General features: G+C 39.1%; 1 protein-coding gene across 2 annotated transcripts in view, besides 3 other annotated features; it reads left to right on the forward strand.

Annotated features, from left to right (window-relative positions):
- CFAP54 (cilia and flagella associated protein 54) overlaps positions 1-22,895 on the forward strand; it is a 385,979-nt gene that overhangs the window by 225,161 nt on the left and 137,923 nt on the right. For both annotated transcript variants that reach the window (NM_001367885.1, NM_001306084.2), the window contains 2 exons: positions 3,706-3,785; positions 5,668-5,828. In NM_001367885.1, coding sequence (NP_001354814.1) covers positions 3,706-3,785; positions 5,668-5,828 — 241 coding nt within the window. The remainder of the gene's footprint in view (positions 1-3,705; positions 3,786-5,667; positions 5,829-22,895) is intronic.
- Positions 5,399-5,578: an enhancer, noted in NCBI's record as "active region_6834". NCBI's record gives its function as "activates an Ori minimal core promoter by ATAC-STARR-seq in GM12878 lymphoblastoid cells {active_cell/tissue: GM12878}" and the evidence as "EXISTENCE:reporter gene assay evidence [ECO:0000049][PMID:35858748]".
- Positions 5,599-5,708: an enhancer, noted in NCBI's record as "active region_6835". NCBI's record gives its function as "activates an Ori minimal core promoter by ATAC-STARR-seq in GM12878 lymphoblastoid cells {active_cell/tissue: GM12878}" and the evidence as "EXISTENCE:reporter gene assay evidence [ECO:0000049][PMID:35858748]".
- Positions 14,193-14,787: an enhancer, noted in NCBI's record as "H3K27ac-H3K4me1 hESC enhancer chr12:97122708-97123302 (GRCh37/hg19 assembly coordinates)". NCBI's record gives its function as "activates a minimal SCP1, AML or CMV promoter by ChIP-STARR-seq in naive H9 embryonic stem cells {active_cell/tissue: H9 hESC(naive)}" and the evidence as "EXISTENCE:reporter gene assay evidence [ECO:0000049][PMID:30033119]".

Raw genomic sequence — 22,895 nt, forward strand, 5'->3', positions numbered from 1 at the left:
GGAGATAAATGGGTAGGCTGCTGAAAGGGACAAAAGAGGGTTTAAAAAAAAAACTGAAAAAGTAGCAGTCTGTTTTTGTTTTGATGGGAATCATCAAATAGAAAGAGGGAAAATAATGATGGTGCAAGGTGTGGAGTGAGGAGATATCTAACATGATACCCTTAAGTAGGCAAGATGGGAATGGAACTAGTACTCAAATGGAGGGTTTGGCCCTACATGGCAACATAAAATTCACCTATAATGACAAGTTGAAGGGCAGAGTGTATAGGTTCACATGCTAATGGATGGAGAGATGTATTGTGGGTATGTTTGCAAGTTATTTGCTAATTTCTGTGGTTTCTTCATTGGAATAGGAAACAAAGACATCAACCGAGTGAGAAGCAGGGAGAAAGTGTTGGAGATTTAAGGAGAGAAGAGAAGGGATGAAGTAGTTGTCTTAGAGCATAGGAGGGCAGATGGACTAGGGAAATGGAGCAGGACTTCTGGGCAGCTTGCAGAGCCTTTTTGTATTTCTGGTATGAATTTAAAGTGAGAAGAGTTAGCATCGTTTTTTCCCAGCCACATTAAAATTCAGGGGTGCCGATGTCAACAGAGAATTGGATTTGCAGGGGCTTGGGGATTGACTAGGTGGGTGACATAAAGGAGAGATAGGCAAGGAAATTTAAGGTGTTTGCAAGAGTGATTATGTTTGATGGACTAAGGAACTAAAACTGGGTAAGGAGGGATGAGATGGCAGGGGGAAGAGAGGGAAAGGGAACAGTGAAACACTGGTACTGTCAATGGATTATGGGTTCTAGAAGGGGTGAAGTATTGCTGGATTCATGATTCCTGAAAGAACAATCTGGAAAAATATTAGTACTTTTGTCTGTTAAGGTCATCACTATTCACCCTTCACTTTTTCCTATTTTCCTCATATATTCTCAGGAATATTCTACCTGCATACTTCAAGGTAATTCAATCTGATTCTAAACAAGAAAACTATGATAACAAAAGACAAAAGGCACTTTTGGCTTTTTCATTGGAATTCGTTGAGATGCTTGTATTAATTTTAATGTAATTTATATATTTTTATTGTCTTCCCACCCAAGAACATAATATATTTTCTCATTTTTTTCATATTTTGTGCCCTTTTTATGTTCCCTTCCTGGAGTTCACAAACAGGCCCATATTCTCTACTATCACTTGTAGATAACATAGCAGCTAGTTCACTTACCAGGCTACTCCACTCAAATTAAAGACTTTGAAAAACTTTCAGTTTCCCTTTTTCTCTCGTGCTTTTCCCTTCAGCAGGTGACATCACCTCACTTCACATCCAACTCCTGATTTTAGTTGATTTTAATTCTAGATTCTTATTAGTTTTCCCTTAGCATGTCCATTCAATTTCAATAACTTTATTTAGTACTAACTTTTTACATATATAATTACTGGTTTAGAATTAAATATGTAGATTTTCTATCGTTTCCTCAGTATTTCTAGATGTTAATCCTAGTCTTCTGGCTTCCATAAATGCGGATAAGAGATCTATTTCTTTTATTTTAGAAAATTTGATTTTTTGCTTGGAGATGTTTCTCTTAATTCTTTTAGATCAGGGATTTTGCTGGAAGCACATCTGCCTGAAACCTGCCTGAACATTGAAAGGATCTGCATTTTGACAAAGCATTTAGTTCCAGAAAGCATTTTTTGGTACTCTGCTTGCACTTCCATAAGTGTTCTTATTATTTTGGGTTCAAATTGTCATGCTTGCTCCTAGCAGTTCTGTTTCCCATTTGAGTTTCCTCTTCTTGCCTACTGAGCCCCTGTAGAAGTCAGGCTAAGCTGGTCTGTCATAGCAAATCAGTCTTTAAATATCATGGCTTAACACAGCAAGGGTTTAGTTCTTGCTCAGATTGACAAGGGGCTGTGTTTTGCAGAGCCACTCAGGTACCCAAGTGCTGCTATCCTGGAGGCACACCATCTGAAACACTCTGCTCTGACCTTGCCTAGAAAGCCATAGGGTGGCACATGAGCCCTTAAATGGAACTCTGGAATTTAGTCTGGAATTCTTATGTAATTGGATAAGACCGAATTTAACTGCAAAGAGGCCAGGAAGTATAGCTTGCCAGGTGCTCAGAAAGGAGAGGAGTATGCATATAAGTGAACATGATTAGTCTGAAACACAGATCCTAGATATGGTGTTATTTTTGCTGGTCATCCCATTGGGGTTCCTGTTTTGTTGGTATCAGCTATGCAATGGAGAAGGTGAAGTCAGTGAGATGTAGAGTGGCAGGCAGGTAACTAGCCTTCCTAAGGCATCAGGACTCCTATATCTCTTCGCCTATGGATGGCCTATCTGTCTAGCTCTTCTTTTTATTCTAGAGGAGAACACTCATGTGGGACCCATGTTAATTTTATCACACATGGGTTCATGAAAATGTCTAGGTTAAACTCTTCCTAGGGTCTTTTGTATGGTAACATGCATTCCAGGCTTCTTTTGTACCACGTTCAGGCATTTGGTTTGTCTCCATCATTGTCTCTGTCATTCTTACTTTCTCCCTTAGGTGAAAAAGCCCAGTCCCAGATCCTCCTGCTGGGCCTTCCAAGAGCCCTAGCCCTCCCTCATCCTCAGCTGACCCCTAGATTCAGACCCTCATAATTTAGGAGACTAGCCAGGTAGGGAAGTGTTGCTGTTGAAAGAGGAGAGGAAGTTCGGTGTATTAAGTTCCATGTTATTTCAGAATTTTTCTTTGTACTTAACAAACTTAATTTCTTCAGGTGGATATATTTTTCTGTCATTTGTAGTCAAATGATTTGTGGTTTATCTTTCTCTCCCACAGTCTAGAAGCCCAGTTGAATGAAGCAGGCAAAGACTGTGATCTGAATTCTCTCACTTCTCCCCTGTTCAGAATAAGAGCAGGCTTTGGATCGTGGATGGAGATTTTGAAAGAGATATTTGAGTATTGTGGATTATGCTCTTCCAGCTGGTCTCACGCTCAGCTCTTAGACTGAGGGGCTTGTTCACATCAGCAGAACTGATGCTTCCATGGAGATCTTATTGAAATGTTAGAAATATCTGGAAGAGGGCTTTCAGGAGTCCTGGGATCCCAGAAGAGGAAAAACTATATCAGTAGCCAATAACTTGAATAACATCACTAAATACCTAAAAAATTCTTTCAGAATTGTCTGATTTGTTGTAAGAATCAGCTTCAGCCTTCTAATATATGACATTAGGGACTATTTGATACAGGAATATGTTTCTATATTCCCGTGTTTCTATATTATCATTGTGTTTTTTAAAAAATTATTAAACTTATGGATAGTTTTCCTGTGAATGATGAGTTTTAAAAACTATTAATAGAATTAGGGTGGGTGCAGTGGCTCATGCCTATAATCCCAGCACTTTGGGAGGCCGAGGTGGGCAGATCACTTGAGCTCAGGAGTTCAAGACTAGCCTGGGCAACATAGTGAAACCCCATCTCTACAGAAAATACAAAAATTAGCCGGGCATGGTGGTGTGCGCCCGTAGTCCCAGCTACTCGGGAGGCTGAGGTGAGAAGATGGCTTGAGCCCAGGAGGTGAAGGTTGCAGTGAGCTGAGATTGTGCCACTGTGCTCCAGCCTGGGTGACAGAGCCAGACCCTGTCTCAAAATAAAATAAAATAAACCTAGAATTAATATTTAAACTAACCATAGATATCCTTGGTCCTTCCAAAATTTTGTGTCTTTATAGAGATATATTCAAAGGATGATGGAAGTTCATTTTATAATCTTACAAAACTTAAAGATGAGATCACTCTTAGCATGCTAAAGGTAAGTTTGAAACTGTTTTCAAACCATTAAGTTAGTTACCAAAAATCCACTATTAGGCCCTGGATGGGCCTGCTTTCAGAGTTATGCTTGCTCTTGTGAGAGCAGTTACCTTTTCTTGTGTAAGAATGGGTTGGAGCCAGAGGTGGAGTTTACTCCTCATGAGAAAAGTAGATGTCCAGTGGTGTCCAGCTTTGACTTCACAACCTGATTAAGGTGCTTCAGAAAATATGATTCGGCTGGGCGCGGTGGCTCACACCTGTAATCCCAGCACTTTGGGAGGCCGAGGTGGGCGGATCACCTGAGGTCGGGAGTTCAAGACCAGCCTGACCAACATGGAGAAATCCTGTCTCTACTAAAAATACAAAATTAGCTGGGTGTGATGGCGCATGCCTGTAATTCTAGCTACTCAGGAGGCTGAGGCAGGAGAATCGCTTGAACCCAGGAGGCAGAGGTTGCAGTGAGTCAATATCACGCCACTGCATTCTATTCTGGGCAAAAAGAGCGAAACTCCATTTCAAAAAAAAAAACAACAAAGAAACATGATTCATTATTTGGTGGGATATGAGTATTCCATCCCGTTTATCATTTCCCAATAATAGTGATGACAATGGCATCAACAGCTTTTGCATGATTATTTAATTTTTATAACTTTATGATGTAGGTAGTAATCATTTTGAACTGTGCTGTGCTGAACCATGAGAAAACTGAGGCTTAGACATCTAAGAATTTGACTAATATCATACAACTAATAAAATATAGATCCAGGAGAAGGACTACATCTTTTTGATTCAAAATCCATGTTCTTAAACATTATACTGAATTGCCCTAATATTTATATAATATTCACTGCTCTGCACAAATACATTTTTAGTGGCCTGTCACTTGAAAGATTGGTTGGTCCCTTTATCTTCTGCCATGTTAGGCTGCTATTTACTATTGATTGTCTACTGTAAAAATCTCATTATCTTCACATTACCAACTAGGTGACCATACTTTAACTTGAAATACAGTTGATCCACATTATTCACAGATTCTGTGTTTGCTAATTTGCAGATCTACTGAAATTTATTTGTAGCCTGAAAATCAACACTCTTGGCACTCTGTTGGCTATTCGTGAACACACGCAGAGCACAGAAAAATTTGAGCTGCTCAATGCACGTATTCCCAGCTGAGTTGAACAAGGAGATGCTCTGACTTTTTGTTGCCACTCTCATACTGTAAACAAGTGTCCTTTTCACGGTCTATTTAGTACCATGCTTTTTGAATTTTTGTCAATATTTACAATGACCCTCCAGCATAGTGCTGAAGTGCTGTGGAGCATTTCTAAGTTAAGAGGGCTGTGGTGTCCCTTATGGAGAAGCTATGTGTGTTAGATAAGCTTCCTTCAGAAGTGAGTGCTATTGGCTGTGAGTTCAAGGTTAGCAAATTAACAGTATATATTAAATATACTGTTATATATCCTTAGCCATAAACACACATTAAACAAGGAGGCTGTGTATTGAGCAGTTAATGAAAATGTTGTGACCAGAGGCTCTCGGGTACTTTTCTCCATGTCTCCCCTAGGAGCAATGGCTCAGTATCCAGTAATCAGTGTTTGCAAGAACTTTATAGAACATAACTACTGTGAATAGTAAGCACCAGCTGTGCACACAAGAAAAGGTCACTGTCATGCATGCTGACGCTTGCTTTCACTTTCCTTTTCGTTTTCTGTTGCCTTTTTCCTTTTTGCTGAACTCTCTTCTCTGGTAATTAGATACCAAGTTCCTTTTTGGTCTTCCATTCATTGTTACTTTTCAGTACATGAAAAATATTTGCTAAAGAAGAAAGAGACAGTATTTGTATTATTTCTGAACTCACGTGATGTATGGTATCCTTTCCTTAGTCGATGTTACTGATGGAAGCTGAGGACAGGCTAAACTTCCTTCTGTCCGAGGTGGAACAGAAGACCCTGTCTCAGTGCTCCGCTGGCGAGCTGGAGATTGTGGTGGAGGCCCGGCTTCAGCTGGCTGCAGTTGCTCTGCAGAGGCACCGGGCGGCATACAGGTGCGTCTCTCCATGCACAGGGGAGGGATACCTTTGAAGAGAGTTCCTTCACCCTAGTTTATTAAATAGACTTAAATTTTATGTAAGTTTTAGAAATTCCTATATCCATAGTATGCTTGCTTTTTATTATTCAGGGAAGTTTTCATACATGATTTCACTTAAAATTATAGCTCTGGCTGGGTGTGGTGGCTCATGCCTGTAATCCCAGCACTTTGGGAGGCTGAGGTGGGCAGATCACTTGAGGCCAGGAGTTGGAGACCAGGCTGGCCAACACGAAGAAACCCTGTCTCTACTAAAATATGAAAATTAACCAGGCTTTGTGGCGGCACATGTAATCCCAGCTACTCGGGAGGCTAAGGCAGGAGAATCACTTGAGCCCGGGAGGCAGAGGTTGCAGTGAGCTGAGATTGCCCCTCTGTACTCCAGCCTGGATGACAGAGCAAGACTCTGTCTCAAAAAAAAAAAAAATTACAGTTCTCAATAAAGCAATTATTTTATGAAGGCACACAGCTGGGTTGTTTAATTTCATATATAGAATGAACAAATTAACAATGCTTTGATTTTTTTATACATTTAATTTACTTTTTAAAAAGACTAAACCTTTTTACGAATAAAAGCTATGGAGTGTTTTCTTTTTTTCTAAAACATTGACTTAAAATATTAAAAACAAACCTATTTTGAAAAAGTAAGTTTCTGCATCATATTGCACTGAACTGTTTAATAAACTGTTGTAGGTAGCTAATTATTTAAATGTGCTGCAATTGTTAGTGTCAGCTCTTTCATTTAGTTTGTTCATCGATTTATTTATTTAGTCAACCAGTATCTGTTAACTCTCTCACTGCCAGGCTCTGATCTAGGCAGTGAAGATATAAAGATGCATAGAATACAATTTCTGTATCCATATGCTCACAGATATATAAGCAGTCAGGTAGAGTAGTAAAAATAATATTACAGCGCTTTTTTCATATTTAATAATATGGACATCCACATTCAAGAGTTTCTCCATGCCATTTGTGATAAACACTTCTATCATGAGGTCCTCTGACACATTCAATAGTGATTCATCTAATAATGCATACATTTCTTATCATTCATTAATTCGTTTAAAAAATAAGTTTGTGCACTTTCAATATGCTAGGCACTGTTCTAAGCTCCTGGCAAGTATCAGTGGCCCAATACTCATATATACAGTCTAAACAAAATATATAACAATATTGTGCAAAATCTTGCCCTATATTCTAATAGATAATAAACATGCTGGCAATAAACTATAAACACAAGTAAATTACAGAGTGTGGGCAAAAATGATAAGTGCTATGGAGAATATAAGGAGTAGAGGTTGGAGGGGGACGAGTTACCATTTTAAAATCGTGTGGTTGTAATAAGTGTGACTCCATTTTGATGTTCAATGGCTGACAGCTTTCAAGCCCGACCACTGTCCTTCTCTTTCTGCCCCTGACCTGAGCAAGCAGATAAGAAAGCCCATCTGTTCCCTCCTTTGGTGTTAGTGGAAAGTTCAAACCATGTAAGTCCTGGCCCATGTGCAGGAACTCTTACCTCAGTGCCACCCACCAACCACCATAAAACTCCAAGCCAGTCTCTTTTCCTTACTTTCTCCATACATTTTCCCACCTGTTTGGGAACCTGCTCTGATCTTCTTGCAAGGTCTCTTTATGTGAGCAGTACCCCATTTCATACCCTCTTGACGTGTGTGTATCTGGGATCAGTCGTGACATCTGAACCACATTTTGGGTGGTCAGGGCAGGCTTCATTGATGAGGTGACATCTGAACAAAGTACTTAAATGAGAGAATTATCCATGCAAATATCTATAGACAAAGTGTTACAGGCCATGGAGACATGCCTGATACATGTTTGAGGGACACCTCCAGGCCTCTTGTGGCTGGGGTGGAGTGAGTGAGGGGCAGAGTTGCAAGGGAGATCGGCAAAGAGGTAACTGGTGGACAAGGAGATTACATAAGACCTTTTGGCCAGGGTAAAGACTGACTTTGAGTGAAGTGGGGAGTCATTGTGGAGTTTTGAGCAGAGGAGTGACATGATCTGATTTTCATTGTAAAGGGTTGGCTCTTGCTGCTAGTGTGAGAATTGATTATAAGAGGAAAAGGGTGTGAAAGCAAGGAGATGAATTAAGGAGGCTATTATAATAACAGAAATATGGTGGTGTTTCTTACCAGTGTGATAGCACTGGAGGTAATGAGAAGTATTTGGATTCTGAGTAAATTTTGAAGGTAGAGCCATTCTGTTTTACAGATATTGGATGTAAGTTGTGAGAAAAAGAGAGGAGTCAAAAAAGAAGTGGTCATTAACTGAAATGGGGAGGTTGTAGGGGTGCAGCTTATTTAGGGGAAACACCAGGAATTAAAATTTGGATGTATGTAGTTTGAGATGCCCTTAGATGTACAATTGAAGATGTCAAGTATTCTGAGAGTCTTTAGAATATAGACAGTGTTATTCAAATCTTCCCAGCATAAAGAAAAGATAAATGTGTAAGGTGATGGATATACCAATCACTGCTATTTAATTATTACACATTATGTAATGTATCAAAATATTTTATGTACCCTGGAAGTATATATGTCTATTAAGCATCAATAAAAATACAATGATAAGAATAATACAAATTTAAAAGTACAGTATAACAACTAAAAAAAGTAAAGACAGAATTTTAATACTGGATGAGCTCCGTTAGGGGGTATAAATAGATGGAAGAGAGAAAAGGACCAAGGATCAAGCCCTGAGTTTTGTACTCCAACTTTACGAGACTGGGGAGAAAATGAGGAACCAGAAAGGGGACTGAGAAGAAGTGACCAGTAAGATAGAAGAAAACCAAGAGATTATGGAACCCTGAAAGCCAAGTGAAGAAAGTGGTTGAGGAGAATGGAGTGACCAACTGTGCCACAAGCTTCTGATAGATTGAGTAAGGTAAGGATAGAGAGTTGACCCCTGGATTTAGCATGGAGGCCAATGGTGACCTTCACAGGAGTAACTTTAGAAGATGCTTGGGAAAGATTATGTTTAGAGTTGTTTATGAGAGAATGGGAAGAGAGAAACTGGAGCCCACAAATAAAGATGATTCTTTTTTTTTTCTTTTTTTAAATTATTATTATTATACTTTAAGTTTTAGGGTACATGTGCACAGTGTGCAGGTTAGTTACATATGTATACATGTGCCATGCTGGTGTGCTGCACCCATTAACTTGTCATTTAGCATTAGGTATATCTCCTAATGCTATCCCTCCCCCCTCCCCCCACCCCACAACAGTCCCCAGAGTGTGATGTTCCCCTTCCTGTGTCCATGTGTTCTCAGTGTTCAGTTCCCATCTATGAGTGAGAACATGCGGTGTTTGGTTTTTTGTCCTTGCAATAGTTTACTGAGAATGATGACTTCCAATTTCATCCATGTCCCTACAAAGGACATGATCTCATCATGTTTATGGCTGCATAGTATTCCATGGTGTATATGTGCCAGTTTCTTAATCCAGTCTATCATTGATGGACATTTGGGTTGGTTCCAAGTCTTTGCTATTGTGAATAGTGCCGCAATAAACATACATGTGCATGTGTCTTTATAGCAGCATGATTTATAGTCCTTTGGGTATATACCCAGTAATGGGATGGCTGGGTCAAATGGTATTTCTAGTTCTAGATCCCTGAGGAATCGCCACACTGACTTCCACAATGGTTGAACTAGTTTACAGTCCCACCAACAGTGTAAAAGTGTTCCTATTTCTCCACATCCTCTCCAGCACCTGTTGTTTCCTGACTTTTTAATGATTGCCATTCTAACTGGTGTGAGATGGTATCTCATTGTGGTTTTGATTTGCATTTTTCTGATGGCCAGTGATGATGAGCATTTTTTCAGGTGTCTTTTGGCTGCATAAATGTCTTCTTTTGAGAAGTGTCTGTTCATATCCTTTGCCCATTTTTGATGGGGTTGTTTGTTTTTTTCTTGTAAATTTGTTTGAGTTCATTGTAGATTCTGGATATTAGCCCTTTGTCAGATGAGTAGGTTGCGAAAATTTTCTTCCATTTTGTAGGTTGCCTGTTCACTCTGATGGTAGTTTCTTTTGCTGTGCAGAAGCTCTTTAGTTTAATTAGATCCCATTTGTCAATTTTGGCTTTTGTTGCCATTGCTATTGGTATTTTAGACATGAAGTCCTTGCCCATGCCTATTTCCTGAATGGTAATGCCTAGGTTTTCTTCTAGGGTTTTTATGGTTTTAGGTCTAACGTTTAAGTCTTTAATCCATCTTGAATTAATTTTTGTATAAGGTGTAAGGAAGGGATCCAGTTTCAGCTTTCTCCATATAGCTAGCCATTTTTCCCAGCACCATTTATTAAATAGGGAATCCTTTCCCCATTGCTTGTTTTTCTCAGGTTTGTCAAAGATCAGATAGTTTTAGATATGTGGCGTTATTTCTGAGGGCTCTGTTCTGTTCCATTGATCTATATCTCTGTTTTGGTACCACTACCATGCTGTTTTGGTTACTGTAGCCTTGTAGTATAGTTTGAAGTCAGGTAGCGTGATGCCTCCAGCTTTGTTCTTTTGACTTAGGATTGACTTGGCGATGCGGGCTCTTTTTTGGTTCCATATGAACTTTAAAGTAATTTTTTCCAATTCTGTGAAGAAAGTCATTGGTAGCTTGATGGGGATGGCATTGAATCTATAAATTACCTTGGGCAGTATGGCCATTTTCACGATATTGATTCTTCCTACCCATGAGCATGGAATGTTCTTCCATTTGTTTGTATCCTCTTTTATTTCATTGAGCAGTGGTTTGTAGTTCTCCTTGAAGAGGTCCTTCACGTCCCTTGTAATTTGGATTCCTAAGTATTTTATTCTCTTTGAAGCAATTGTGAATGGGAGTTCACTCATGATTTGGCTCTCTGTTTGTCTGTTATTGGTGTATAAGAATGCTTGTGATTTTTGCACATTGATTTTGTATCCTGAGACTTTGCTGAAGTTGCTTATCAGCTTAAGGAGATTTTGGGCTGAGACGATGGGTTTTCTAGATATACAATCATGTCATCTGCAAACAGGGACAATTTGACTTCTTATTTTCCTAATTGAATACCCTTTATTTCCTTCTCCTGCCTGATTGCCCTGGCCAGAACTTCCAACACTATGTTGAATAGGAGTGGTGAGAGGGGGCATCCCTGTCTTCTGCCAGTTTTCAAAGGGAATGCTTCTAGTTTTTGCCCATTCAGTATGATATTGGCTGTGGGTTTGTCATAGATAGCTCTTATTATTTTGAGATATGTCCCATCAATACCTAATTTATTGAGAGTTTTTAGCATGAAGGGTTGTTGAATTTTGTCAAAGGCCTTTTCTGCATCTATTGAGATAATCATGTGGTTTTTGTCTTTGGTTCTGTTTATATGCTGGATTACATTTATTGATTTGCGTATATTGAACCAGCCTTGCATCCCAGGGATGAAGCCCACTTGATCATGGTGGATAAGCTTTTTGATGTGCTGCTGGATTTGGTTTGCCAGTATTTTATTGAGGATTTTTGCATCAATGTTCATCAGGGATATTGGTCTAAAATTCTCTTTTTTGGTTGTGTCTCTGCCCGGCTTTGGTATCAGGATGATGCTGGCCTCATAAAATGAGTTAGGGAGGATTCCCTCTTTTTCTATTGATTGGAATAGTTTCAGAAGGAATGGTACCAGTTCCTCCTTGTACCTCTGGTAGAATTCGGCTATGAATCCATCTGGTCCTGGACTCTTTTTGGTTGGTAAGCTATTGATTATTGCCACAATTTCAGATCTGTTATTGGTCTATTCAGAGATTCAACTGCTTCCTGGTTTAGTCTTGGGAGAGAGTATGTGTGGAGGAATTTATCCATTTCTTCTAGATTTTCTAGTTTATTTGCGTAGAGGTGTTTATAGTATTCTCTGATGGTAGTTTGCATTTATGTGGGATCGGTGGTGATAACCCCTTTATCATTTTTTATTGTGTCTATCTGATTCTTCTCTCTTTTTTTCTTTATTAGTCTTGCTAGCAGTCTATCAATTTTGTTGATCCTTTCAAAAAACCAGCTCCTGGATTCATTAATTTTTTGAAGGGTTTTTTGTGTCTCTATTTCCTTCAGTTCTGCTCTGATTTTAGTTATTTCTTGCCTTCTGCTAGCTTTTGAATGTGTTCACTCTTGCTTTTCTAGTTCTTTTAATTGTGATGTTAGGGTGTCAATTTTGGATCTTTCCTGCTTTCTCTTGTGGGCATTTAGTGCTATAAATTTCCCTCTACACACTGCTTTGAATGTGTCCCAGAGATTCTGGTATGTTGTGTCTTTGTTCTCATTGGTTTCAAAGAACATCTTTATTTCTGCCTTCATTTCGTTATGTACCCAGTAGTCATTCAGGAGCACGTTGTTCAGTTTCCATGTAGTTGAGCGATTTTGAGTGAGTTTCTTAATCCTGAGTTCTAGTTTGATTGCACTGTGGTCTGAGAGACAGTTTGTTATAATTTCTGTTCTTTTACATTTGCTGGGGAGAGCTTTACTTCCAACTATGTGGTCAATTTTGGAATAGGTGTGGTGTGGTGCTGAAAAAAATGTATATTCTGTTGATTTGGGGTGGAGAGTTCTGTAGATGTCTATTAGGTCCGCTTGGTGCAGAGCTGAGTTCAATTCCTGGGTATCTTTGTTAACTTTCTGTCTCGTTGATCTGTCTAATGTTGACAGTGAGATGTTAAAGTCTCCCATTATTATTGTGTGGGAGTCTAAGTCTCTTTGTAGGTCACTCAGGACTTGCTTGATGAATCTGGGTGCTCCTGTATTGGGTGCATATATATTTAGGATAGTTAGCGCTTCTTGTTGAATTGATCCCTTTACCATTATGTAATGGCCTTCTTTGTCTCTTTTGATCTTTGTTGGTTTAAAGTCTGTTTTATCAGAGACTAGGATTGCAACCCCTGCCTTTTTTAGTTTTCCATTTGCTTGGTAGATCTTCCTCCATCCTTTTATTTTGAGCCTATGTGTGTCTCTGCACATGAGATGGGTTTCCTGAATACAGCACACTGATGGGTCTTGACTTTTTATCCAATTTGCCAGTCTGTGTCTTTTAATTGGAGCACTTAGTCCATTTACATTTAAAGTTAATATTGTTATGTGTGAATTTGGTCCTGTCATTATGATGTTAGCTGGTTATTTTGCTCGTTAGTTGATGCAGTTTCTTCCTAGTCTCGATGGTCTTTACATTTTGGCATTATTTTGCAGCGGCTGGTACCGGTTGTTCCTTTCCATGTTTAGTGCTTCCTTCAGGAGCTCTTTTAGGGCAGGCCTGGTGGTGACAAAATCTCTCAGCATTTGCTTGTCTGTAAAGGATTTTATTTCTCCTTCACTTATGAAGCTTAGTTTGGCTGGATATGAAATTCTGGGTTGAAAATTCTTTTCTTTAAGAATGTTGAATATTGGCCCCCACTCTCTTCTGGCTTGTAGAGTTTCTGCTGAGAGATCCACTGTTAGTCTGATGGGCTTCCCTTTGTGGGTAACCCAACCTTTCTCTCTGGCTGCCCTTAACATTTCTCCCTTCATTTCAACTTTGGTGAATCTGACAATTATGTGTCTTGGAGTTGCTCTTCTCGAGGAGTATCTTTGTGGCATTCTCTGTATTTCCTGAATCTGAATGTTGGCCTGCCTTGCTAGATTGGGGAAGTTCTCCTGGATAATATCCTGCAGAGTGTTTTCCAACTTGGTTCCATTCTCCCTGTCACTTTCAGGTACACCAATCAGATGCAGATTTGGTGTTTTCACATAGTCCCATATTTCTTGGAGGCTTTGTTTGTTTCTTTTTATTCTTTTTTCTCTAAACTTCCCTTCTCGCTTCATTTCATTCATTTCATCTTCCATCACTGATACCCTTTCTTCCAGTTGATCGCATCAGCTCCTGAGGCTTCTGCATTCTTCACGTAGTTCTCGACCCTTGGCTTTCAGCTCCATCAGCTCCTTTAAGCACTTCTCTGTATTGGTTATTCTAGTTATACATTCGTCTAAATTTTTTTCAAAGTTTTCAACTTCTTTGCCTTTGGTTTGAAATTCCTCCTGTAGCTCGGAGTAGTTTGATCATCTGAAGCCTTCTTCTCTCAACTCGTCAAAGTCATTCTCCGTCCAGCTTTGTTCCGTTGCTGGTGAGTAACTGTGTTCCTTTGGAGGAGGAGAGGCGCTCTGCTTTTTAGAGTTTCCAGTTTTTCTGCTCTGTTTTTTCCCCATCTTTATGGTTTTATCTGCTTTGGGTCTTTGATGATGGTGATGTACAGATGGGTTTTTGGTGTGGATGTCCTTTCTGTTTGTTAGTTTTCCTTCTAACAGACAGGACCCTCAGCTGCAGGTCTGTTGGACTTTGCTAGAGGTCCACTCCAGACCCTGTTTGCCTGGGTATCAGCAGCGGTGTCTGTAGAACCGCGGATTTTCATGAACCGCGAATGCTGCTGTCTGATCGTTCTTCTGGAAGTTTTGTCTCAGAGGAGTACCCGGCCATGTGAGGTGTCAGTCTGCCCCTACTGGGGGGTGCCTGCCAGTTAGGCTGCTCGGGGGTCAGGGGTCGGGGACCCACTTGAGGAGGCAGTCTGCCCGTTCTCAGATCTCCAGCTGCGTGCTGGGAGAACCACTGCTCCCTTCAAAGCTGTCAGACAGGGACATTTAAGTCTGCAGAGGTTACTGCTGTCTTTTTGTTTGTCTGTGCCCTGCCCCCAGAGGTGCAGCCTACAGAGGCCGGCAGGCCTCCTTGAGCTGTGGTGGGCTCCACCCTGTTCCAGCTTCCTGGCTGCTTTGTTTACCTAAGCAAGCCTGGGCAATGGCGGGCGCCCCTCCCCCAGCCTCGCTTCTGCCTTGCAGTTTGATCTCAGACTGCTGTGCTAGCAATCAGCAAGATTCCATGGGCGTGGGCGTAGGACCCTCCGAGCCAGGTGCGGGATATAATTCTCCTGGTGCGCTGTTTCCTAAGCCCATCGGAAAAGCTCAGTATTCGGGTGGGAGTGACCCGATTTTCCAGGTGCCGTCTGTCACCCCTTTCCTTAACCAGGAAAGGGAACTCCCTGACCCCTTGCGCTTCCCGAGTGAGGCAATGCCTCACCCTGCTTCAGCTCGCGCACGGCGCGCTGCACCCACTGTCCTGCGCCCACTGTCTGGCACTCCCTAGTGAGATGAACCCGGTACCTCAGATGGAAATGCAGAAATCACCCGTCTTCTGCGTCGCTCACGCTGGGAGCTGTAGACCGGAGCTGTTCCTATTTGGCCATCTTGGCTCCTCCAAGATGATTCTTTAGAAGAGTTTTACTATGAAGGGGAGTAGAGAAAGAGGGTGACTGCAGTTGGTAGAAGTAGGGTCAAGACAAATTCTCTTGAAATGAGAGATGATAATGAAAAAGACCCAGTACAGAGAGCAAATGTGATGTTCTGATATGATTGGCACACAGTCGAGTAGGAGCCCGGTCCAGTCTTCTCTTTTTCTCTAATACAGAATAAAGTTATCCTCTAGTTTGGGAATACAGAATAGTCTCTGGAGGCTAGCCAGGGGACTAGCTGCCTGCCAGGGACACAGATGGAAAAAGTCACCCAAGAGAAATCAGTTCCCCAGGCTGATGCCATTAGAAATTGTGGGGTCCAAATTGACATCATCCATGAAATGCAGAAACCCTGAGAAGTTAATTTAAAAAGGTCCTGACATCATAGAGCTGGAGCAGAGGCATACCCTGAACAGTCTCATAGAGGTTAACCCAGGAAATGCAAGACTTCTATGGAAAATAACTCCCACCAAAGATAGCACCGAGTCAAATATTATAAATCAGATGAAGAAACAGCCATAACAGAGAGTTAGCAGACACAATAAATGTCAGACTTCACAGCCCAAGAAACAAACTGTTCAAAGATAGGAAGGATAGAAGAGAATCTACAAAGAAACAGTGAGACAACATAAAAAAGGAACAGATGAATTTGGAAAACAGCAAAATAGAAATTCTATAAATGAAACAATATAGTCACTGAAAGAGAAAAGAAATGATCAAGTTAGATGAAAAATATTTTTTTCTCTCCTTATTTTTTTCATTTATAATGAAATTCCATACATTAAACCCCATTCAAATTGAAATTTGGAAGAGGAGTTGCATTTAAGACTTTTAGACTGTCATTCTCTTTAAACAGGAGAATCCCACTTATATGTTTCCCAAAGGGGAAATCAATTCAGCAGAAATCCTCATTTGCTTTGATTGGAAACATATAATCATCTCATCAGTATAAGCCTACAAGCTTTGACTGAAGGCTGTTCCATGACTAACCACATCTAAATCTAGATGACAGCAGAGGATTTGGGAGATTTATAATTTTTGTAGTTTTTAAGCAGTGATGAAAATCTGTAAAGTATGTTTGGAGCAGTGATTCTGAAAGTGTGGTCTGCACATCTCTGGGGGTGTCTCCCAGACCCCCTGGGCATGGGGGTGTACATGAGGTCAGAACCATATTAATAAAATTAAGACAGCATTTGCATTATTCACTGTGTCGTTCACACTGATGCTGCAGAAGCAACAATGATAAGACTTCTGGCGCCTCACCATGAATCAAAGCAGCAGCCCCAAACTGTACTAGTAGTTACTGCTGTCTTCATTCCTGCACACTTGTAATTTAAAAAAATGCCAGTTTCACTTAAGAATGCCCCTGGCGAGGCAGTAAAATCTTGCACTTATAAATCCCTATCCTTGGATATATATTTTTAACATCTTATGGGAATATTATATGGGAAATATGCCTAGGTATGTCTGCTGCTTATGAAAGCTATGGTTGACTTGAAGAAGAATGTGTGTGATTGAATTGAGAGTTGGACAGGCTGCTTTCTTCATGGAATACCATTTTCATTTGAAAAACAATGGACAAACTATGGTTATTCAGACTTGAGTATTTGGCAAATATTTTATTGAAAATGAGCCAAGTGAGTATGCCACCTCTAGGGTAAGAACTGATAGTATTTGTTGCCGATGATAGAATTTAAACTTTCACAGGAAAACTAGAAGTTTGGGAAACTTGTATGAGCCACCACGAGCTTGACAATTTTCTAATATTTAGATTTTTTTCCTGTCAGATTGGTAGAAATACTAAAAACATGACTTTTAAAAATATTGTATAATAAAATGCTTCAATATTTGGGGGAGCTCTATAACTCAGGGAGACAATATTTCCTAAATGACTTATGCATAATGTTACAAAATCCTAGTGAACAAGATAGAGCAGTAGATTTTAATGGAACAAAGTAGGAAAAGTTCAGCAATATGTGGTATTAAATTCTACATTGCAACAAACTTTAAAAAAAAAGATCACTTGTCACATGATAATTGTCATTTTGATACTACATTGGTGTAGTATCAAAGAAGAACTTTAAAACAGTAATTTGAAGCAGCTATTCAAATACTTCTCCCATTTCCAATGACTGTGTGACGCCTAATCTTCATACACTTCAACCAAAACAATATTTTAGGAAAGACTGAGTGTAGAAAAAGAGATGAACAATCTTCTGTTAAGTAGGGGTGTGTGTGTTTGTGTGTGTGTGTGTGTGTGTGCGGTGTGTTTTCAGACAGAGTCTTGCTGTGTCACCCAGGCTGGAGTGCAGTAGCAGGATCTCAGCTCACCGCAACCTCTGCCTCCTGGGTTCAAATGATTCTCCTGTCTCAGCTTCCCGAGTAGCTGGGACTACAGGTGCACACTGTAGTGTGTGCTACTGGCTAATTTTTGTATTTTTAGTAGAGTTGGGGTTTCACCATGTTGGCCAGGCTGGTCTCAAACTTCTGACCTCAAGAGATCCACCCGCCTTGGCCTCCCAAAGTGCTGGGATTACAAGCATGAGCCACCATGCCTGGCCACTTGGTAGCTTGTTTTTTATTAAACAAGACATTAAAGAGATTCATGGCATTCTTCTCATGAATTTTTTTGAAAATATAGTTGTTTGCATAAAATATTTTATTTATTTTAATATGTAATAGGTTTACTATTTTTATTTTAAGAGGAATTAATAAATGTTAAGGAAATTAAGACATTTTTAGCTGAATTTCTAATGTTGGCAAATGTCGACGGAGCTCTTTTGGGTTCTCAATAATTTTTAGAGGTATAAAGAGGTGCTGAGAATAAAAAGCTTGAGAACCACTGGCTTAGAATATTGTCATATGTATAGCTATCTTTAAGGACACATGGTAGTTGATGGTAGAATATGCTCAGTATAATAACATACCATTTCCTCCATTGGAGTTTGAAGGGAGAAGACATTTTTACTATATAATTCTCTATAGAACTGTTTTTTTTTTCCAAACTATGTGTCAGAGAGCAACAGCAGCCCTAGAAAATATTTATCAATACCTTCATTCTTTCCCCAGCTCTCTGTGTATCCTATACCCTTTTGGTATGAAGGATATGAGTGGTTTTTATTCTTTTTGGGGAGGAAGAATGAAATGAGAAACTAAAAATTACAAAATGGCCATAGAAAGGACTGTCATAATAGAACTTTAATTTGAAAACCAGATAGACATATGCAAATAGTGTGCAAGTATATCAGAATTGCTCCTATTTTAAATACACGAACCTGGCCCTTGGGACAAAACCTGCAAAAAACTTTGATGTTATTGCCTTTTTGGAGCAGAGTTGTCATTTAGGGGAAGCCTACTGTCAAGATGAATGAGTTTTTCTCATGTGAACTTTACCCCCTGTGAGCTTCTGTTTGGGTACTGCTGAGAGTGTTGGACAGTCCCTTTTTTAAATGATGGTTAGCTTGACATTTCATGATACTTCTAATAAAATTATGTGTCAAGGAAATTGAAAGGCACATTCCCTAGGGTGACAGGTAGAGTGAGTTGCATGGATTTTATGAGAACAAACTGACCATTTTTGTCATGAATGCTAATAAGAAATAAATGGGATCAAAGTTATTCAAATTGTATTTCTACTTCTAGGGCTGCCTCTTTCTTTCAAAATCCTGTGGGTTTTTTTTTTTTTTTTTAATAAGTGTTCCTTCCTATTCTCCTTTACATTTGATCTATTGTTTAAATGGAAAAATATTTGGGCCTTTTAATTTTGTGTCAGACTGAAACTTTCTTCTTTTGAGATTTTAGACTGTTGGCAGTAGGTAATCCTCACATACTTTCTATCTGTCTAGTGTAGTGGAGAAACTAGAAATTTTCCATTCTGCAACTAAGCAGTACCGAGTGGATTAGGACATACTGGTATGTCTTATATTTTATTCATTAAGTTTTTGGGTTAGTAAGATGCCAAACCTCATACCTTGTTTCTCTTAAAATCAGAATTTGGGTTTCAAGATGAGAAGAATGGAATGGGTACCACTTTCTTTTTCCAGGGTTTTCTATCAGCCATGCTGAGTTAGCCTTGGAAACTACTGAGTAAATGAGGTGCCTCAGAAATGTGTGTAGCTTTGAGGGAGGAAGAGTGTGGGGAGGGCACGTTTCCTGTGCACACACTGACTCCATGCTATGTTTGTTGTTGTTGTTATTTTCTTGGTTAGTTTTATTTTAAATAAAAAACAAGTTAATTACAGCACCTTAGAAAATTTTCTACAAATATCTAAACCATTTTAATGGCTCAGCAAAATCTTGAGAGTTTAAAATTCAGTAACTGCTAAGAAATTGGGATGTTATTTAACAAATTAGAAAAAAAATCAATTTAGTCTCTCCCCACCTCTCCTGGCCAATTCAATACATTAATAATGATAATAGCTAGCATGCATTATGTGCCTCTGCTTGCCAAGCACTCCTATTTGCTAAGCACACTCCATGCTTTCTAGAATGTCAGTTCCACGAGGGCAGGGATTCTTGTTTGTCTTCTTTACTGCTATATTCATAGCCCCTAGATTTCTCCCTGGCCCATAGCAGATGCTCCATATGTACTTTTGGATTATTATAAGGATTAAATAAGATCTTTATTTTTATGAAAGGATCTTATTTAACCCTTATAATAATCTCATGTCATGAAGTTTGCACTGTTATTATCATCATTACTGCTTTATAGATAATGAGATTGATAATTGGGGTTCCCAAGATCACACAGTTAATATATGGGAAAAGTGGAATTTGACCTCTCTCTCTCCAGTGTATGAATTCTTAAAAATTAGGTTATTTCACATGAACTAAAAAGTTTTTTTAAGTAGAAAAAAATACAATTAAATAACAGAATCTCTAGAAATATGTATTTCCAAAATTACAACTGACTACAAAGAAAAATGTCAACTGATTTAATCTGTGAAATATTTTAATTTTTATAAGTACAATAACAACAAAAACCATTACACCAACCATACATAGAAAAACAAGATTTTTACTTCAAGTAAATATGACAAATAGTTCCTTTCATTTTTACATAAAATTACTGATAAAATTGATAAAAAGAGACTGTTGATAAATGGTCAAATACCATAAACTTTTCATTAAAAAGAAGAAATTATAACTAGTATGTATACACCTGGAAAAATATCTGTCTGCTTACAAAGTGAAGTTAAAGCAATGAATGAGGTCCAGATTTCTACCTGAAAAATAGCATTGGGGTAATATTCCCTGATAGGTTCTCCACCAACTTCCCATTGAAAGACATGCTCCCCACGGAGATAGAAAAATAGAAAAGCTTTAATAGAATTGAAAGCTAAGCATAATAATTCAACTTTTGCAAGAAATGGGAAAACTTTTTTTCAAATGTAACCCATAGATGAAGATGGAGTCAGAACCACAAGGGATCATCTACATCCACTTTATCCCCTGAAAGGAACAGCATCGGGGGCCAGGAAAGAAGAGTGGTCGCTCTACCTTCTAAGCACATAACTCAGAAGGGGTTCACTATCCAAAAACCTCGGCAGATACCCTAACACTGTGCAGAGGCTTAAGGAACTACTCCAGCCAACAGAAGAGATCCATCTCATAGTTAAGACTGAGAAATGAGGCAGTGATTCTGTAAAAATGACTGGTGGTGGGCACTGGAGCTAGTTTGGGCTCAGTGTAAATAATGATAAGTTTGCATAACTGAATACAGATGTCAAAACTAATTCCTGAAAAAGGTGATAGAGTATAAAGATAACTAACAATGACCTGGGGATAATATATCAGATTTTAATAACCAAGTGGATGTGGGAGAGATAGGGTAATTAAAAATTATGAAATTCTTCATCCTATATGTAGGGAATAAAAATATGTTGGTTCATTTTATACATTGAGAAATAGAGAAGCAGAGTAGAGAAATTATGTTTTTAAGATGGATTAATGGAGAAGTGTGTTTTGGAAAATATTAAACATAACTGCTATTAGAATCTAAACCAGAATATATATATTTCAAATCAGTGTGGAAAGTAAAAGGGAAATAGTCTTATGGCAGAAGACACAAAACAAAGGAAAAAGGAAGAATACACTCAGAAAGCATAAAATAATAGAAGAAAACAAGGCATGTTAATTATGCCCATAAATGTAAAATAGTTGAAACATACTGGATTTGTGAGGATTTTTTGGTTGCAAGTGACAGAATCGCAACTTAAGCCAAATCAGCCAAAAGGGGAAATTTTCTGATTCATGTGAATACAAAGCTGGGGAAGGCAGAGGTAAGGATGGGCCTGAGGGTTTACTGAGAGCAAAGGCTTGAGTGCTCCTGGAATCACCTCGTTCCATCTTCTCTCTTTCAGCATTATGTGTTAGCTTTATTTGATCAGGCTGGCTTCCTCTACAGTGCTGGATACATGTCTGCCACTAGATCAAGACTTCTAATGCCCCAAATTTACCAGAGAGAGAGAGAGCACAAGACTGTCTCTTGCTTCAGGTTCAGATACCAGGGAAGTGCTCTGATTGGCCCGGCTTGGCTCATGTGCCCATCCCTGGTCCCAAGCACCATGGCCAAGGAGGCAGGGTCATGAAAGAATATGGAAGCCCTCACTAAGAACTAAGAAAAGGGGGTAGGCAGAGGATGGAAAATAATGTCCCAGAAGGATGGGATGTTTGATGCTTTTCTTAGAACAGAAGAAGAATGCTACTTGAAGTAGTAGATATAAAATTGAACTATAAATCACTGTCAAAAATGGTCCAGACATCTTTAAAACTAAAAGGATTTTCAGTTATCAAAGATACTAAGAAAAGATAAAGAAACAAAGATGGCAATATCAATATTATGCTAAGTAGGATGCAAGGCAAAAGGCATTGAACTGCACCAAGAGGCCCATTGATATTGATGAAAGGTACAGTCAACAGTGACTATATAACAGCCATAAATATGATACTAACACTATATGGATAGCAAAAATTCAACAAAACCAAACTTGGTAGAAACTGTGAAAAGACAGAGATGGTGTCATAGAGTAACAGATAAGAGTACAGGCTCTGGGGCTGATTGCCTGAGTTTTGAACCTGGCTCCTCTTTCTAGCTGTGTGACTTGGATCAAGTTATTTAACATTTCTGTGTCTTCATTTTCTAATCTGGAAAATAGGGATGATAATAGTACACGTTGAGTATCCCACATTCAAAATGCCTGAGGCAAGAAGTGTTTCAGATTTCAGATTTTTGGGGGGAGTTTGGAATTTTTGCATTATTCTAGTTGAGCATCCCAAATCTGAAAATTTGAAATCTGAAATGCCCCGACAAGCATTTCTTGAGTGTCATGTCAGCACTCAAAAAGCTTTAGATTTTGAAGAATTTTGGATTTTTGGATATGGGATACTCAACTTGTATCTATAACCTTGTAGACTTGTGGTGGGGAGTGAATGAATTTATTCACAGGAAGTGCTTAATATAGTACCTGTCAGGTGGCAAACACTTGGTAAATACCAGTTATTATCTTTTTTTAAAAAAGATTGTGGGGAAAAAAAGGAGAGAATTTCTGTGGCCAATGTTAGCACAATATTTTCAGTTTTTAATAGATATATTATATATTATATTTTATATATATATATGTTTTGTTTTTTTTTTTGAGACAGAGTCTTGCCCTGTCACCCAGGCTGGAGTACAGTGGCGCCATCTTGGCTCACTGCAACCTCTGCCTCCCGGGTTCAAACCATCCTCCTGCCTCAGCCTCCTGAGTAGCTGGGATTACAG

The sequence above is a fragment of the Homo sapiens genome, chromosome 12, assembly GCF_000001405.40.
Source record: "Homo sapiens chromosome 12, GRCh38.p14 Primary Assembly".
NCBI classification, from domain to species: domain Eukaryota; kingdom Metazoa; phylum Chordata; class Mammalia; order Primates; family Hominidae; genus Homo; species Homo sapiens.